Source organism: Homo sapiens, chromosome 1, assembly GCF_000001405.40.
Source record: "Homo sapiens chromosome 1, GRCh38.p14 Primary Assembly".
Classification (NCBI taxonomy): Eukaryota; Metazoa; Chordata; class Mammalia; order Primates; family Hominidae; genus Homo; species Homo sapiens.
Genome location: NC_000001.11, coordinates 99,936,107 through 99,954,363, shown reverse-complemented (window position 1 = coordinate 99,954,363; position 18,257 = coordinate 99,936,107). Strand labels below are relative to the sequence as shown.

The 18,257-nt window shown below is 40.1% G+C and overlaps 1 long non-coding RNA gene across 9 annotated transcripts in view, besides 1 other annotated feature; it reads left to right on the top strand.

Annotated features, from left to right (window-relative positions):
- LOC124904230 (uncharacterized) overlaps positions 1-18,257 on the top strand; it is a 124,812-nt gene that overhangs the window by 83,645 nt on the left and 22,910 nt on the right. For 4 of the 9 annotated variants that reach the window (XR_007066247.1, XR_007066246.1, XR_007066244.1 and 1 more), the window contains exons 2-5: positions 7,866-7,976; positions 8,559-8,629; positions 14,294-14,359; positions 16,245-16,833. This is a non-coding gene — a long non-coding RNA (uncharacterized LOC124904230). The remainder of the gene's footprint in view (positions 1-7,865; positions 7,977-8,558; positions 8,630-14,293; positions 14,360-16,244; positions 16,834-18,257) is intronic. The other 5 variants (XR_007066243.1, XR_007066251.1, XR_007066250.1 and 2 more) reach the window with 3 other exon arrangements.
- Positions 3,831-4,025: a silencer, noted in NCBI's record as "fragment chr1:100415895-100416089 (GRCh37/hg19 assembly coordinates)". NCBI's record gives its function as "represses an EF-1alpha promoter that drives an FKBP-Casp9 reporter gene in an ReSE screen in K562 erythroleukemia cells {active_cell/tissue: K562}" and the evidence as "EXISTENCE:reporter gene assay evidence [ECO:0000049][PMID:32094911]".

Here is an 18,257-nt window from a genome sequence, read left to right as displayed (position 1 = left end):
AAATGAGGCTAGTTTAATATTGTGGGTTTAATAAAAACAGCGTGTCTTCTGAATTATCTATATTAAGTATAATACAGGCATACATTTTTATTCTAATTGGGTATGCTTTTCCTAAACCTATACAGGTTTACAGATCAAATAAGCTAGCACATTGTGCAGGATCTGGATTTTAAAAAGATAATAAAGAAAAAAGTAAGCTAGCATTATGATCTACTAGATGTTTAAGATTATGAAAATTGTAAATTTGTGTTTAATCAAATTAAATCATTATTCTGGCAAACCTTATTTCAGCAGTAATTATATTTGGTAGCATGTCAGCTTGGAAATAGTTTCTAAGATCTTTTTGTAACTAAAAATCTTGAATTGATGCTAAATTGAATTAGTTAATGGATATTCACAAAATATTAAGATCATTTCTTTCTTTTTTTTTTTTTTTTTTTTGAGATAGAGTTCGCGCTTGTAGCCCAGGCTGGAGTGCAGTGGCACAATCTCGGCTCACTGCAACCTCTATCTCCTGGGTTCAAGTGATTCTCCTGCCTCAGCCTTCCCAATAGCTGGGACCACAGGTGCGTGCCACCACACCTGGCTAATTTTTTGTATTTTTAGTAGAGACAGGGTTTCACCATGTTGACCAGGATGGTCTTGAACTCTTGACCTCAGGTGATCCTCCTGCCTCGGCCTCCCAAAGTGCTGGGATTACAGGCGTGAGCCACCGAGCCCGGCCAAGATCATTTCTAAGATAAGCTACTGAAACATTAACTTCAAAGTATAACTTTAAGTTTATATATATATATATATATATATATATATATAATTTCAACTGTTATTTTTGATTCAGGGTGTACATGTGCAGGTTTGTTAAATGGGTATATTGTGGGACACTGAGTTTGGGGTATAAATGATCCCATCACCCAGGTGGGAATTCATAGGTAGTTTTTCAGCCTTTTCCCTCGTCCCTCTCTCTCCCTTCTAGTAGTCCCAGTGTCTATTGTTCCCGTCTTTTTTTTTTTTTTTTTTTTTTTTTGAGACAGAGTCTCACTCTGTTGCCCAGGCTGGAGTGTAATGGCACAATCTCGGCTCACCACAACCTTTGCTTTCCGGTTTCAAGCGATTCTCCTGCCTCAGCCTCCCACGTAGCTGGGACTAGAGGCACACGCCACCATACCCAGCTAATTTTTGTATTTTTAGTAGAGATTGGGTTTCACTATGTTGGCCAGGCTGGTCTCGAACTCCTGACCTCATGATCCACCCGCCTCGGCCTCCCAAAGTGCTGGCATTACAGGCGTGAGCCACTGCACCCGGCTTTTCCCGTCTTCATGTCCACAGCTACCCAATGCTTAGCTCTGAATTATAAATGAGAATGTGTGGTATTTGATTTCGTATTCCTGCAAAATTTGCTTAGGATAATGACCTCCAGCTGCATCCATGTTCCTGCAAAGTACATGATTTCGTTCTTTTTTTATGGCTGTGCTTATATATTTTTAACATTTTTTGCCTCTTATTTTGATATAATACTGAGAGGCTATGTACTTGGATCTGTTAATAAATATACTCATTTTTGTGAGTTAGGGATGTGTATCACTATAAAGTTATAAGATATATAATCATAAGCTTTGCTGGTCTGCTAAAAATGCTGATGTGTTACAAAAACAGTTGCAATTATTTACCTCCTAGTTTTCTGTGTAAAATATAAGTCCTGTGATTACAAGTTATAATCAATATATGTGAATTAGACTCTACTAGGAGCAAATAGAGGCAGAGAAAAGCAACTTTCTATGCAAAGTATATGGGGATGGATTTTTGTTAAGGAAAAAAGTAGTTTTGTAAGTAGTTTTGTGCTGAAGTAAAATGACTTTGTTTCAGAATGAGAAGGCGTAAAGTATAGGAAAAAATCTGAATAGATATAGAAAGTCATGGAAGATTCACAGAAAGGAAATTTTGTGGTGGTCAAAGCTGGCTACATTTGATGAATTTATTTATAAGATTATTAGAAAAAGGCTTAGTGTAAAGTATAATACTTACATAAAACTTGAATTTGGTTTTCTTTCTGTTAAAATTACAAAGTCAGCTGGGCATGGTGGCTCACGCCTGTAATCCTAGCTCTTTGGGAGGCCAAGGTGGGCAAATTCCCTGAGCTCAGGAGCTCAAGATCAGTCTGGGCAACACAGTGAAACCGTGTCTCTACTAAAATACAAAAAGTTAGCCGGGTGTGGTGGCATGTGCCTGTAGTCCCAGCTACTCAGGAGGCTGAGGCAGGAGAATTGCTTGAACCCGGGAGGCGGAGTTTTCAGTGAGCCAAGATCGCGCCACTGCACTCCCGCCTGGGTAACAGAGCAAGACTCCGTCTCCAAAAAAAAAAATTTTTACAAAGTCTTCTTGGATTAATTGGCTGTGTTACTAAAATGTTTGTAAAACCAAACCAAACCTGGGTCCACTCACCTGGTACGGGAAAGCCAGTCTACACAAAGATTTGCAGTGAGAAAAAGGAGGATGTTTATTTGCAGGGCACCAAGCAAGGAGAATTGGGCAGCTGACACTTAAGACCCAACTTCTTTACTAGCCTAAACCCAAGGGTTTTTAAAGGAAGGGGTAAGTTTCAGAAAAGCAGAAGTTACAGGCAAAATTGTATACCAGTATGTGGAGGTTATACACTGGTTTGGCCTTAAAAGGTAAGATATATTGAAGCATGGCCTTACAGGTCATAGGTGGTGATATGGTCTGGCACTGTGTCCCCCACCCAAATCTCATCTTGAATTGTAATCCCTATGTGTTGGGGGAGGCACCTCGTGGAAGGTGATTAGATCATGCAGGTGGTCCCTCCATGCTGTTCTCGTGATAGTGAGTGAGTTTTCATGAGAGCTGATTTTTTTTTTTTTGGAGATGGTGTTTCATTCCTGTCACTCAGGTGCTGGAGTGCAATGGCGTGATCTCGGCTCACTGCAATCTCTGCCTCCCAGATTCAAGTGATTCTCCTGCCTCAGCCTCCCTCGTGGCTGGGATTACAGGTGCACAAAACCATGCCCAGCTAATATTTTTGTATTTTTAGTAGAGATAAGGTTTTGCCATGTTGGCCAGGCTGGTCTTGAACTGCCGACCTCAGGTGATCTGCCCACCTTGGCCTCCCAAAGTGTTGGGATTACAGGCATGAGCGACCACGCATGGCCAATCTGATGAATTTATAAGGAACTTTTCCCCCTTTGCTCAGCACTTCTTTTTCCTGCCACCATGCAAAGAAGTATGTATTTGCATCCCCTTCCACCATAATTGTAAGTTTCCTGAGGCCTCCCCAGCCCTGTGGAACTGTGAATCAATTAAACCTATTTCCTTTATAAATTCCTTTATAAATTAATTGCTGGGCAATTCTTTATAGCAGCGTGAGAAAGGACTGATACAGGTGGCTTCCAAGATTCTTTGATTTGCAATTGGTTAAGGAAGCAAAGCTTTGTCTAAAAACTTAGGGTTAGCAGGAAAGAATGTTAAGATCTGGCCTGTGGTTGCGACTCTCCAGGCCCCTCAAGAAGAAATTTAGAACAAAGAACAGTGGTTACAGTTCAGTCCTCAGTTCCCTCTTATCTGAGTTCTACATGTCAGCAGGATGGACTTTCTATTTGGTGGGGGTCCAGGTGTCTGAAAAACAACTCAAGAACATATGTTGATATATTGTCTTTAGTTTCCATAGGGAACCAAACATCTTGTGGCTCTAACTTCCTTGGCTATTGTTTAAAGCTATTACCTTCTTGCTTATCAGGTTGCTCATTTACTTTTCAAGGCTAGCAGGGTGCCCAGAATTTCCCTTGAAGTAACTCAAGATTTTTTTATATTTCCATGCCTGGGGGAAGGGGGACAGTGGGCAGCCGGCCCCGAAAGGAGGTCCCTGCTCTGTCTCAGTTGTAAGAGATTTTTCTTACCTTCTGAGTTATCTATACAACAAAGATTCTGTGTTTTATCAAAATAATCTCCTGTGCTTTATGTTGAGTTTATCATGTCCTTGATTATTTAAGATAATTATTTATTTAAGAGAAAAGTCTGCCCACTTTTGAAAGAAGAACCAAGGTCCTTTTCAATTGTGCTATCATCTATGTATACTTTACATTTTTGTTTTATTTATTTTATTTTATTTTATTTTATTTTTGAGACGGAGTCTTGCTCTGTTGCCAGGCTGGAGTGCAGTGGTGCGATCTCAGCTCACTGCAACCTCTGCCTCCTGGGTTCAAGCAATTCTCATGCCTTAGCCTCCCAAGTAGCTAGGATTACAGGCGCCCACCACCACAACCAGCTATTTTTTTTTTTTTTTGTATTTTTAGTAGAAATGGGGTTTCACCATGTTGGCCAGGATGGTCTCCATCTCCTGACCTCGTGATCCGCCCGCCTTGGACTCCCAAAGTGCTAGGGTTACAAGCATGAGCCACTGTACCCGGCCTATTTTATTTTATTTTTTTAGAAACAGGGTCTCTCTGATGCCCAGGCCGGAGTGCAGTGATGCAATCGTAGTTCACTGCAACCTCAGATGCCTGGGCTTTAAACCATCCTCCTGCCTCAGCCTCTGAAGTAGCTGGGACTACAGGTGTGCACAACCATGCCCATCTAACTTTTTAAAAAAATTGTAGAGACAGGGTCTTGCTATATTGCCCAGGCTGGTCTCAAACTCCTGGCCTCAAGTGATCCTTTTGCCTTGGCCTCCAAAAGTGTAGAGATTACAGGTGTGAGCCACTGTGCCCTACCTTTAAAATTCTTTAATGTCATTTTGCTGTCACATGATTAAATAGGTAGCCAAGTGTTATTTCCCAGGAACCCATGATCCTATTTAATCAACTGTTCAAACCTCCTGACAACTTTTGATATTTTGCCTTCCCAATATAAAGTCCTAAATGATATATTTTGCACCTAAAACCGATTTTCCAGAAGGCCTCTGGAAAATCACAAGGAATTTGTTTTTCATCTTACAAAAAGGGAGGTGCTAGAAATAATTAGGTTTATTTAATTTGTTACTATTGAGTTCCTTGGGAAAAGTTGTCAAATCAGAAGAGGTGATAAATTTGTATGAGTAAAATGCTATTAATATAAATACTTCAGAAATTGTGTGCTATATAAGAAGTTCATAGAGATTTGTCAATGTCCTCACTATCCATGTTATATTTCCATTTCTCAGAGTCTTGGTGCTGTTTTGCCAAGATATTAGGCAAAAAAATGGTATAATAACACTGGTCATATTTTGAGTTATTTTTTAAAGTGTTAAGTTAGTTGCAACTTTAATTTGAATCTAGCATCCTCTTGTCCAGAGGTTTTCAACTGGGGATTCATATCATTAACCTACGAAGATTTATCAAATTCAGATGTTTAGGATCTACTCGAGATTTTCTGAGTCTCTTTCCTTGATAAACTTGATATATTCTCGGTGTAGTCTAACTATATGTTTAGTATATCCATGGTATATTGTGTCTCAGGATTATTATATGTTATATTTGAATATTTTTTCCTCTGTGAAGATTACATTCACTTATTTTCAAAATGTAGATGTATTATCTACTCTTCTTTGAAAATAGGATTAATCATTATGTTTATAGATATTTTATCTAAAACTTTTTTGGGTTGACATTTCATTTTGCATGCCATGGAAACATTTTTTGCCAGTTGCATTATTCTTGTAATAAACTCTCATCAGATCTTTTACTTTGGAAAGTTATTAGTAATAACTATTACTAGCCATTTAAAGCCTTTTGTCATCAGCTGGGCCCGGTGGCTCACGCATGTAATCCCAGTACTTTTGGAGGCCAAGGTGGGTGGATCGCTTGAGCCCAGGAGTTCAAGACCAGCCTGGGAAATATGGTGAGACCTCATCTCTACAAAAAATACAAAAAATTAGCTGGGCCTGGTGGCGTGCGCCAGTAGTCCCAGCTATGCAGGAGGCTGAGTTAGGAGGATGACTTGAGCCTAGGAGGTGGAGGTTGCAGTGAGCTGAGATTGTGCCATTGCACTCTAGCCTGGGTGACAGAATGAGACCCTGTTGAAGAAAGGAAAGGAAAGGGAAGGGGAGGGGAGGGGTAGGGGAAAGGCCTTTTGTCATCTATAGACAGTTTTTTGTTTTACTCTGATGCTTCTGTGAAGCACTTGGAATAGCTGTGGCCAGAGTGAATCAACAAAGATGGACTCTTTCAGAGCCCTGTGAAAAAGGAACCCTGTGTCCAGGTACTCCTGGGCACAGGCTCTTCTGATGGCATTACATAAACAATTCTGAATTTATACCAGTGGACTGAGTCAGAATTTCCAGAACTGTGGTTCAGAAGCAGATAGATTTCTGAGACTGCTAACTCAAGACTGAGTGGAACAAGAATTACTTACATAGGACTGGATAAGCTGATGGATAATTGCGGCTTTCATCTGGAATATTGTTGATGTTTAATGTTATATTTTCTGAACATAAGGAATGCGTTTCTCTCTCCTCTTAAGCTATCTGTCACTCATAATAATTGATTAAATTACACTTTTGTAAATGGAAATGAAATATTTATATTTTTCTCTTTGCCTGATTTCTCCAGAATTGGAAACTGTCACTGATTATTATTATTATTATTTTCTCTTTTGGAGACAGGGTCTCACTCTCTCACCCAGGCTGGAGTGTGGTGGCACCATCTCAGTTCACTGCAACCTTCACCTCCCAGGTTCAAGTGATTCTCGTGCCTCAATCTCCTGAGTAGCTGGGATTACAGGTATGCGCCACCATGCCTGGCTAATTTTTTATTTTTAGTAGAGATGGGGCTTCGCCATGTTGGCCAGGCTGGTCTTGAACTCCTGGTCTCAAGTGATCTGCCCACCTCGGCCTCCCAAAGTGCTGGGATTACAGGTGTGAGCCACCACATCTGAGCTTACTATTTTTATTTTCATTGCAATATAGTTATTTTTACAATTTCAATGAGTCTGTCTTCCTTGTTAACAGGATTTAATTGCAAATATTGGTTATACAACAAATGTCTTCCTTGAAATGTTATATTTTAGAATGATTACTTAATCAGATATGATCTGACACTTTTAAGGAACTATGGTTAATTTTGTGGAGGTAAAGCTTACAAAGCATACCTAGGAAAACTGGAGTCTTATCTGGTTTACAGAATGAATAAAGATTGTCATTTCCTGGCAGGACTGTGAACATTAGGATATTTTATGGACTTTGAGAAGTGAGGAATTTACCCAAATTTTTAGGTATTATAGGTGAAATGTGATGGTGAATTCTTGGCTTGGCTTCCTAGCTCAAAAAGTTTTTAAAAGTTTAATGTGACATTTCTTACTAAACTTTCAGCAAAGCACATTTAAGAAGGACTCTGGTACATTACAATTTTTGTAGCACCTATGTAAATAATCAGGTCAAATCTAATCTGACCGTCTTTATTTTGTGTTCAAGGATAATCTTCAAGATCATCTTTGATTAAAAGGGGAGTGACTGGAGAGATATTTTCTGTTTCAATGGAAAACTATAGCACTATACCCCTTCTTTCCGACTATAGTCCTGAGTTGCAACAGTGTTACCAGACTCTAGCCCTGTTCATTTCCTTTGAGTTAGTTGCACTCCTTGTAAATTGCAGGTAATTGATGGATATGCAAACTCTGTTTTCTCTGGTAGAGATTTAAGTTACTTTCTTCCCCCATACTTTATATACTTTTTGTGAAAAAATCAGTTTGGGTACATGCCTGTAATTTGGACTGGATCCTGTTACCTTGCACAAATTATCAACAATTACCCAATGCTTAATTCTTCCAGTGTTCTTCAATATCTGGCTACAACGCTCTAAACAAAGTTTTCCAAATTGTCTCCCTTCTGTGTGACTCAGCATCACCAAGAACTAAAACTTGACCAGTTAAATCCTTTTCAGGTGCTGCGCTGGGTCTTTTTCTTTGGAATTTTAAGAAGTTCTGTGAGCTAAAGACCAATGACTTCCTACAAATCTTGAAGGACTCCAGGACTCATCACCATAGCAGACCATGTATGGATTTCTTTTCTTTTCTTTTCTTTTCTTTTTTTTTTTTGAGAAGGAGTTTCTCTCTTGTTGTCTAGGCTGGAGTGCAATGGCACGATCTCGGCTCACCGCAACCTCCGCCTCCCAGGTTCAAGTGATTCTACTGCCTCAGCCTCCCGAGTAGTTGGGATTACAGGCATGCGCCACTACGCTTGCCTAATTTTGTATTTTTTAGTACAGACAGGGTTGGTCATGTTGGTCAGGCTGGTCTCGAACTCCCGACCTCAGGTGATCCACCCACCTCTGCCTCCCAAAGTGCTGGGATTACAGGTGTGAGCCACTGCACCTGGCCAGTATGAATTTCTTTCTGGACAAGTGACTGTCAGGGCCAGTAAAGAAGTTTGACAAAACACTGGTTATGCATGCCTTTACATGAAAGGTAGCTAAGACTGTGGACATCACCAAGAGCATCAACATTTTAGCCTCAAGAAACTCAGTGAGTTTTACCAACCTCTTGGAATCCACTGGATTGGTTACCCTCAGATTTAACTTCTGAAGCTATTACTTTAATACAGCTTTTCATATTAATATTTCTCTTTTTCATTTTAGGCATCCTTTTTAAGATGCTTGATGTCCAGGACTTTGAAACAGCTGATTTCTTTTTAACCACCTCTCAATAGGTAATTCAATTGATTTTTACAGGAACAGCACCAGTGAGGGTTCTCAAGAGATTGTTTCTTAGCCCTTGCTTGGTCCCACCCACGTTTATTCTCACCTGAGTTGTTCAGTGTCGAACAAAAGGCTAACCATGTTAAACTTTACCTGAGTCGTGTGCTCTTGGAGAACAGCAACAGTTAAGAAATCCCTCCAACCTTGGCATTCCAGGAAAGGACTTTCTGCAAATAACCATCTTTCTTCATATGACTTAGATAGGACTCACTTTCCACTTTTTCTCATGACTCCCATAACAGTTGAGGATAACTCCACCATTTACCTGTGTCAGGAACAAACAGAGAACTTTCCCCTCTTGCATGAATTTGCTGACAAGGCCAAACACAGATCCTCAACTTCTTGTTCCTTGGCTCATGATTACTGAAATTAGAATCGTTTGTCCCCTGGAAAAACTAGCTAATACAGAGAAAAACACTTTCTGTTCAGCCAACCAACTGATATTACCCCTGCTTGCAAAAACACTCTACTGTAAATCACTTCACCTGAAATTTGATTACCATTCTTTCTGAAACTCTAAGGCAAAATCACCTGCTGAGATACGCTGATCTTTGAATTGGGGATGCTCTACCATTGCAATAGCCTGAGTAAAATTAAAATTAATACCCTTACTTGTCCAATTTTTGTTTTTCACAATAGCAAAAGGGATTTTGCAGATCTGTTTAAGGTCCCTTTTGGTTGACTTTAAGATAGTGAAGAGAAATCAGTAACACTGATTCCATCTTTTCTAGCCAGGCATGGTGGTGTACACCTGTCATCCCAGCTACTTGGGAGGCTGAGGCAGGAGGATCCCTTGAGCCCAGGAATGTGAGAACAGCCTGGGCAGTATAGCATTACCTTGTCTCAACAAACAATGAACAAACAAACAAACAAAAAACCCAACAAAATAATAGAAAAATGTCCTTGCTGGGCCTAATCTAATCAGGTGAGCCCTTTAAAAGCAGAGACTTTTCCCTGGCTAATCAAAGAGGAGATAAGAGAGACATGCTCTGGGTGGCCTGAAAGAAAGCAAACATCTATGGTGTAAATTGTGTATGGGGGGTCATATAGCAAGAAACCGCAGAAGGCCTAGGAGCTGAGAGTGGCCCTTGCTTGATTGCCAGCCAGGGACTGGGGGCCTTAGCCCTTTAGCTGCTACGAACTGAATTTTGCTAACAATCTGAATGGGTTTGGAAAATTTCCTCAAGTCCTATTTGAGAACTATAGCCTGACCAACACCCTGCTTTCATCCTGTGAGACTATGAGTGTATTTGTGGATGTGGAGGCTTAAAACAACACCCTTCATTAACTCATGCATTGTGCATCCTCACTGCTCTGTACTTTATCTCCTTTCTCAGTGGTTATTACCTCTATATGGTATGATCTGTTATGGAGCAAATGGGCTCACTGCTTGATGCTCACAGAAGCTGATAACTATGGCACCAGCTTTTGAGAAAAGAAAGGCTTTATTGTAGAACTGGCAGCAAAAAGACAGGCTCAAATCTGTCCCCCAGTTTGGAGTCTGCGGCAAGTTTTATGAGATCAGAGGAAAAGAGACAGGATTTGGGAATGTTGGCTTGGCAGGATTCGACTGGGGAGCTTCAAATTTGACCATTTACAGTAAAGCATGTTGAGGCAGATTTTAGCCCCAGATCTTCCAGGTCAGCAGAGCCCTCACTTCTGAAAATCCTTCGGATTGCAGGCATGTTTTGAGGGGAGGAATAGTTGGTTCCAGGTGTTGTTAAAGGTCAAAGCTTTTTCTGTTGTGTATGCTTGTTGGGGTGATCAGACCCAACACCAGGTTGTGGGCGTGATGAAGTCCGGCGGAGTCAAAGGAATGAGAAAAAGACAGTTTGAGAGAGAAAGTGGGTCCAGGGGATCATCGCGAGTGTGGAGGCTGCGAAGGCCCTAGCTCTGGAAGCCCAGACTATTTATTGGTGATCAAAGAAACAGGTGGTGAGAATGTGGGAGTCAAAAGGGAGTGTTGCATTAAAGCACATGATTTACAGCTGTGACGGTTTAGCATCTGCTCTGCTACTTGAGATAATGGAGAGCAGGTTCTTTTAAATCAAGATATAATCGATCCCGGGAGAGCAAGGAGCAAGGAGCCAGCAAGTCTAGACACATTCCAGAGTCGCAAGCCCGGGGTTCTATCCAAGCCACAAGGGGTTTTATGCCCTGGGCTTAGATTATGGCGCATCAGGGTAGCCTTCCACCCTTTAGCACCGAGCTTGTTGTTGCAAAGGCCACAAGAGGTTTTAGATCCTGGACCCTGGACATATTCCAAGACTCTTTTACATTATGTCAGACATGCAAGCCCTGCCTCAGCTTCTGCCAACACTCAGCTTTTCTCCCAACATATGCCTGGGCTGCATGACTTGCAGTTTTTGGTTTTGTTATACCTAAAAGGCAACTTGACATTTGTTACCAGTTTGGCTGGTCCTGTGGTTATTATGCTACACCCTTCTACAACCTCATCCACAGGAATCTTACTCCATTGGTTGTTCATATTATTTATTCTTCCTCCTATCTCAGCCTCCCAAAGTGTTGGGATTACAGTGTGAGCCACTGAGCCTGGCCTGAACTTATGTTTTCTATAGTAAATATTTAAAATTATAAAAATCATAAATTGAATCTAAGCACAAAAAGTACAAATAAAAATGTAGTACCTATTACTTCATGTATATCAAACATAGCATTAAAACAAAACCCCTTGTATTAACTTTTAGGTTTTTCCTTTTTTTTTTTTTTTTTTGAGACAGGGTTTCCCTCTGTCACCCATGCTGGAGTGCAGTGGTTCAATCTTGGCTTGCTGCAGCCTCTTCCTCCTGGGCTCAAACGATCCTCCCACTACAGCCTCCCAAGTAGCTGGAACTACAGGGACATGCCACCATACCTGGCTAATTTTTTATTTTTGCAGAGACAAGTTCTCACTATATTACCCAGGCTGATTTTTGCTCTCATGATGTTTGCTTAACATGAAAACACATGTGGTATAAAAATAGTTAACAGGAAAATAACTTGAGAATTATGGCTAGAAAATAACTTGAGATTTGTCTGTCTTGTGAAATTTTCATGAATAATCCAAATGTAATTGTTAAAAACAATCAAGTAATGTAAGTGGGATAAGTTTATAAATAAACTTCTAAACAATAACTATTTTTTATAATATGTCTACTGAAAAACAGTTTCCCAAATCTCTTTGGTAACATATACCCTTAGAGTTTTTTTGTTAAGTTAAATTGTGAATATTCATTGAGTATCTAGACCATTTACAAATAAGATAAAATACTAAAATATTAATTGCCAAACATAGGTTTAAATTTATGAACTTTTGGCTTCTTAATACAGAAGTGGGGTCAGTTGGTAAATATGTCCTGTGCAACATTGAAAAATAGTGCTGTGGGAAATTATATGTTTCTAGAAATTATGAAATTATATAGTCATACATTTGCCAATCTACAGAGTGTTATACAGTATGTACCAGACAGTTCACAATTGCTTACTTCCTAGTTTTCACTAGAAATTAGGTTTACTAAGGATTAAGAATTTTAATTAGGCAATATAGTGGTACCCTGTATCTACAAAATTAAAAAAAAATTATCCAGGCTTTGTGGCATGTACTGATAGTCCTAGCTACTCAGAAGGCTGAGGTGGGAAGATTGCTTGAGCCTGGGAGCTCAAGACTGTAGTGAGCCATGATCGCACCACTGCACTCCAGCCTGGGTGACAGAGTGAGATTCTGTCTCAAAAAAAGAAAAAGGAAAAATTCTAATTAGTATATGCAATTAAAATTACTAGAGATAATAGGGAAAACAACTTTGTGTATAAGAAAAGTAGGGTGTATTTTTGGTAAGAAAAGGTATGGAGTATGAAAATGTGTGTTTGTTGAAAAAAGAATTTTTTTCTAGCTTGGAGATTATTTAAATTTTTCAGAATGTAAAAGGAGAATGAAGGACAAAAAATTGATATAGAAAATTGGGAAGAGAGAATCTTGTGTGGTCAAGTTGACTACCATTGAATGAACTTATTATAAGGGTCTGAAATGACTCAACATCAAAATACCATACACTAATGCAAAACTAAAAATTGGTCTTCTCTCTGTTAAAATGACAAAGATTTCTTGTAGTATTGATCTCTTCTTGGTAAAAGATTGTAAAAGGTTTTCTTTACGTTTTAAATAATCTGCCTAGAAAACAAAGTTTTTTTGTCTTATCAAAGTAATTTTCTTTTTTTTTTTTTTTTTTGAGACATAGTCTCACTCTGTCGCCCAGGCCAGAGTGCAGTGACATGCTCATGGCTCACTGCAACCTCCGCCTCTCAGCGGATTCAAGCAGTTCTCCTGCCTCAGCCTCCAGAGTAGCTGGGATTACAGGCATGCGCCACCATGCCCGGCTAATTTTTGTATTTTTAGTAGAGATGGGGTTTCACCATGTTGGCCAGGCTTGTCTCTAACTCCTGACCTTGGGTGATCCGCCCCGCCGGGCCTCACAAAGTGCTGGGATTAGAGGCATGAGCCACCTCGCCCAGCCATTATCAAAGTAATTTTCTATGTTTCATGTTGTCTTTATCAAATCTTTGATTACTTAAGGAAACTGAGCATTCTCTATTAGGAGAGGTAAGGTTTTTCCTACAGCTACAGTTTTCTGTATTTTGCCTTTGAAGTCTTTCAGTTGCCACTTTGATTAAATGATAACTAAGTATTTTTTCACAGTGACCTGTGATTCTATTTTAAACAAGTCTTTAACCTTTTTGACATTTTTTTACAAACTTCCCAAAATCAAAATCTAAATTTTGACCTCAAACTAATTAATAACTGGGATTTTCAGGGCCCCTGGAAAATCTCAGAAAAAATTTGTTCTTTTTTAAAAAAATCTTTTTTTCTGTATTATTATTATTTTTAAAATTTTCTGCAGAGACAAGTTCTCACTATGTTGCCCATACTGGTCTAAAACTCCTGAGCTCAGGTGATCCTCCTGCTTTGGCCTCCCAAAGTGCTGAGATTACAGGCATGAGCCACTGTGCCTGGCCCTTTTTTGTGTGAAACAGGGTCTCATTCTGTTGCCCAGGCCGGAGTGCAATGGTGTGATCACAGCTCACTGCAGCTTCAAACTCCTAGGTTCAAGTGATCTTCCTGCCTCAGCCTCCCAAGCACCTAGGGACTACAGGTGCATACCACCATGCCTGCCTAATTTTTTAATTTGTTGCAGACATAGGATCTCACTTTGTTGCCCAGGTTTGTTCTTTCCTTATTAAAAGAAAGATCTTAAGCTAATCAAGCTTCCTTGATAAGTTTAAGCAAATGGGAAGCATTGTCAAGTAAGAAGTGATGCTTAACCTCCTTTATGCTATATTTATATAGGTATATATTATTAATATAAGTCTTCCAGAAATGCATAAAATTCCTGGAAATTTGATATGTCCTAGTATAAGTCATAATTCTAGTTATCTTAAAGTGATATGTCACAAAAATAACCAAATTTTCTTGTCAATTGCATTATAATGAGCTCTCATTAGGTCTTAAAGCATCAACATTTTAAGTCTTTTGTCTTCTGCAGACAGTTAATTTGTTTAATAAGATGCCTTCCTATAATTCCTGCAAACACCTATAATTTGAACGTATTTTCTTTTCAAAGGATTCATGGAAAAAACTCTGACAAGCACAGATTTCTGAAAACTTTAAGGTCATACCACTGGACTCGGTAAGAATTTTCAAAACACTAATAAAGAAACCGATTGATATGTAAGACTGTTAAACCAAGATCAAGTAAAACAAGAACTAGGTACACGGGGACCCAGCACGTTGACTCACACCTATAATCCCAGCACTTTGGGGGGCCCAGGTGGGTGGATCACTTGAGGCCAGGAGTTTGAGACCAGCCTGGCCAACATAGTGAAACCCCACCTCTACTAAAAATACAAAAATTAGCCAGGCAAGGTGATGGGTGCCCATAATCCCAGCTACTTGGGAGGCTGAGACGTGAGAATTGCTTGAACCCGGGAGGCAGAGGTTGCATCGAGCTGTGATCGCACCACTGCACTCCAGCCTGGGCGACAGAGCAAGACTGTCTCAGCAACAACAACAACAAGAATTAGTTACATGGGATTAAGTGAACTGATGAGGATGATTACAATATCTATGCTATTTTGTTTGAAATATTTCTGGTTCTTCAGCGTTTTATTTTCCAGGCTTTTTTTTTTTTTTTTTTTTGAGACAGGGATTCCCGTCACCCAGGCTGAAGTGCAGTGGAGCAATCACTGCTCACTGTAGCCTGGAACTCCCGGAATCAAGCCATCCTCCCCACTCAGCCTTCCAAGTAGCTAGGACTATAGGAGTGTGCCACCATGCCTGGCTAATTTTTTTAATTTTTCGAAGTGACAAAATCTCACTTTGTTGCCCAGTTTTAGACTCCTGGCCTCAAGTGATCCTCCCACCTCAGTCTCCCATAGTGCTAGGATTACAGGTGTGAGCCACCACACCTGGCCATTTTCCAAATTTAAAGAAACCCTTTTTCTCTTACTTTCTTCAATCATCTATAACTTACTGCAATTTGGTAGGTTATACACTTTTAAATGAAAAACAAAACAAAACGTTTATCTTTTTCTCCATACCTGATCCCTCCAGAATCAGAATCTCTTATCAAATATTCTTATTTCATGACAACACAGTTATTCACCTAAGTTCAATAAGAACTTTTTCTCCTTGCAACAAGGCACAAATAGAAGTAGTTATATTACCAAGACTTTGACTCAGATGTCACATTTGTGAATGATATGCTTAAAAACAGACACAACAGGCTGGGCGCAGTAGCTCCCATCTGTAATCCCAGCACTTTGGGAGGCTGAGGTGGGCAGATCACCAGGTCAGGAGTTTCAGACCAGCCTGGCCATTATGGTGAAACCTCGTCTCTACTAAAAATACAAAAATTAGTTGGGCGTGGTGGCGCAAGCCTATAGTTCCAGCTACTCAGGAGGCTGAGGCAGGAGAATCACCTGAACCTGGGAGGCAGAGGTTGCAGTGAGCCGAGATTGCGCCATTGCATTTCAGCCTGGGCGACAGAGCGAGATTCAAAAAACAAACAAAACCCCAGATAAGACAGACAGTTTTAAGGAATTAAGATTGACTTTATGGAACCAATAAAGCCCCTTGAAAACAACTGGCTTTGTACCTTGCCTATGGAGTTCCTAACCTTACTGGGGAGAAAGATCACTTTCTGGCAGGCCCAGGAACTTCAGAATATTTGGGGAACCTTGAGAAGAGACATCTGTTGGTGAGTCCTTGGTGTGGCTTCCTATACTTGAGGGGCTTTTAAAACTCCAATCTGAAATTCTTTATTGAAACTTGCAGCAAAGCAGACTTCAAAAGAGCCTGTATAATCAATCACTATTCTTGCTGCACCTTTCAAAATAATCCTTATGCCAAGCTGGCATATTTTGGGGTGGCATATCCTGCTACTCTTCAGTGTGCAAGGTTATTTTAAAGGGACTTAAACTGAATTATCAGCTTTTTTTTTGGTTGCATCTCTTGCTAAAGGTTAGAGTTAAATGGAAGTTTGACCATGACCTGTGACTTTCATTTTCTTTCAGAGAAATATTACTGAACACTTGTTCTGAAGGCTGATCCTAGACAGCAAGACTCAGAGAATTGAGAGAAGACAAAAACATTCATCTAATCGGGGCGGCTGGGTGGGGTGAAGTGAACCCAGCCTGATTACCCTTAGCATCTAACTCCACAGAAACTCTGCTCTCTATTTTCTCAATCTTCTCCAATTCTTTATGAAGGGGTTCAGGAAATGCCGCCCCAAAATATGGTGCTTTGGTGTAATACTTTGAGCTGAAGACACTTGAAAACAGTATATGCAGGGAGACGCTTTCTCTGAACTCCCCTTATCTGTCTAAAGATAGATACCGCAAAGGAACTCAATTTGTCATCAATTTTCCATCAGTGAAACTCTTCCAGGAGTTTCATCCACCAGTGAAGCTTATCTCAATCACAAGAGAAGAGACTAGAAGCCCACACCACACTTAGACAAATGTCACAAACGATCATCTGTTCTTCTAAGGGCCATTCATCTTTTCCCAAAATCATTTACTCTGCCTGAAATTGGCTACATCCCTGGCTTCCTTCTCGCCTATGTAGAGGGTATATAAGCTCCTAAATCTCCCGGTTTTTCAGGTACTTTTCTTCCTGTGATGCCACCACACATGTAATCAATTTATATACCTTTTCTCTTATTAATTTGCCTGTTGTTAGTATGTTTCAGAGGCTGAGTTATTGAACTCTCAGAGGGTAGAGAGGGAAAGTCTTCACTTTTCTACAATTAAGTAGATCAATTTAACTTCTAAGGATAAGTCTGTCTGTTTTTCCCATGTTTTGAATTTTGAATCATAATGACCTGAGATCCCCAATTAAGGAGAAATGGGAAACAAATATCTGTATGATAATCTATAACTGTTTTCTTTTATACACAAATCTCAATGTCATGAATATAAAAGTAATGCTTGATTTGGAGTTCCTTTACATTTATTATTCAAAAACACCCACATGGCCGGGCACAGTAGCTCATGCCTATCATCCCAGTGATTTGGGAAGCTGAAACAAGAGAAACGCTTGAGTCTAGGAATTTGAGACCAGCCTGAGCAATAAAGCAAGACCCCATTTCTACAAAAAATTAAAAAATAAAAAAAAATTATCTAGAAATGATGGCATGTGCCTATAGTCCTAGCTACTCAGGAGGCTGAGGCAGGAGGATTACTTGAGCCCAGGAGTTTGAGGCTACATTGAGCTATGATTGCAACACTGTACTCCAGCCTAGGCAACAGAGCAAGACCCTGTCTCAAAAAAAAAAAAAAAAAAAGAAAAAAAAAAGAAATATGGTCAATATTGGTCCAAAAGGAAAGGAAATTTTCATTTCTGAGAAAAAAAAATATACGTATATATTTTTGAGACGGAGTTTCGCTCTTGTTGCCCAGCTGGAGTGCAATGGTGCGATCTTAGCTCACCACAACCTCTGCCTCCAGGGTAGGAAGGAAGTTATGGCAACCAGCTGGTAAATGCATTTCCAAGTTAAATGTCAATAAAACATAGCACCTATGAACAATTTTTGGAATTTTAAACATGTTAGATCAGGAAGCAGTCTTTAACACACAGCATGTAGCCTTTCCACCATCTGACTTACTTTTGTCAAGACATTAGATTGTGTAGTAGTCTTGGGTTTGATGCTGTGGCTCTCACAGGCCTGTTGAATGGTTTGATGGATTTGGCAGAAGTTTGACCTCCAGTGTTCCATGTAAAGTGTACTCCATTTCTAAGTGTTGCAGGATTTTTCTCAGCCACTTTGCTGACTGAGGACATCCACAGCTGGTGCTGCCCCCTGACTGCCTGGGCCTTGCTTGGCCCTGGGCCTGCTGCTGGAGGCACCCTGCCCACTCGGCCTGCTTGTGTTATGACTTATACCCGCATTAGGCAGTTCCCGAGCTCTTCTCCTGCATCCAAGAAGAATGAGGATACACTGACAATTTGAAGGGTGAAGAGGGTGAACAAGAATTTTATTGAGTGATGGAAAAGCTTTCAGTGGGGAGGGGACAATGGGGGTGGTC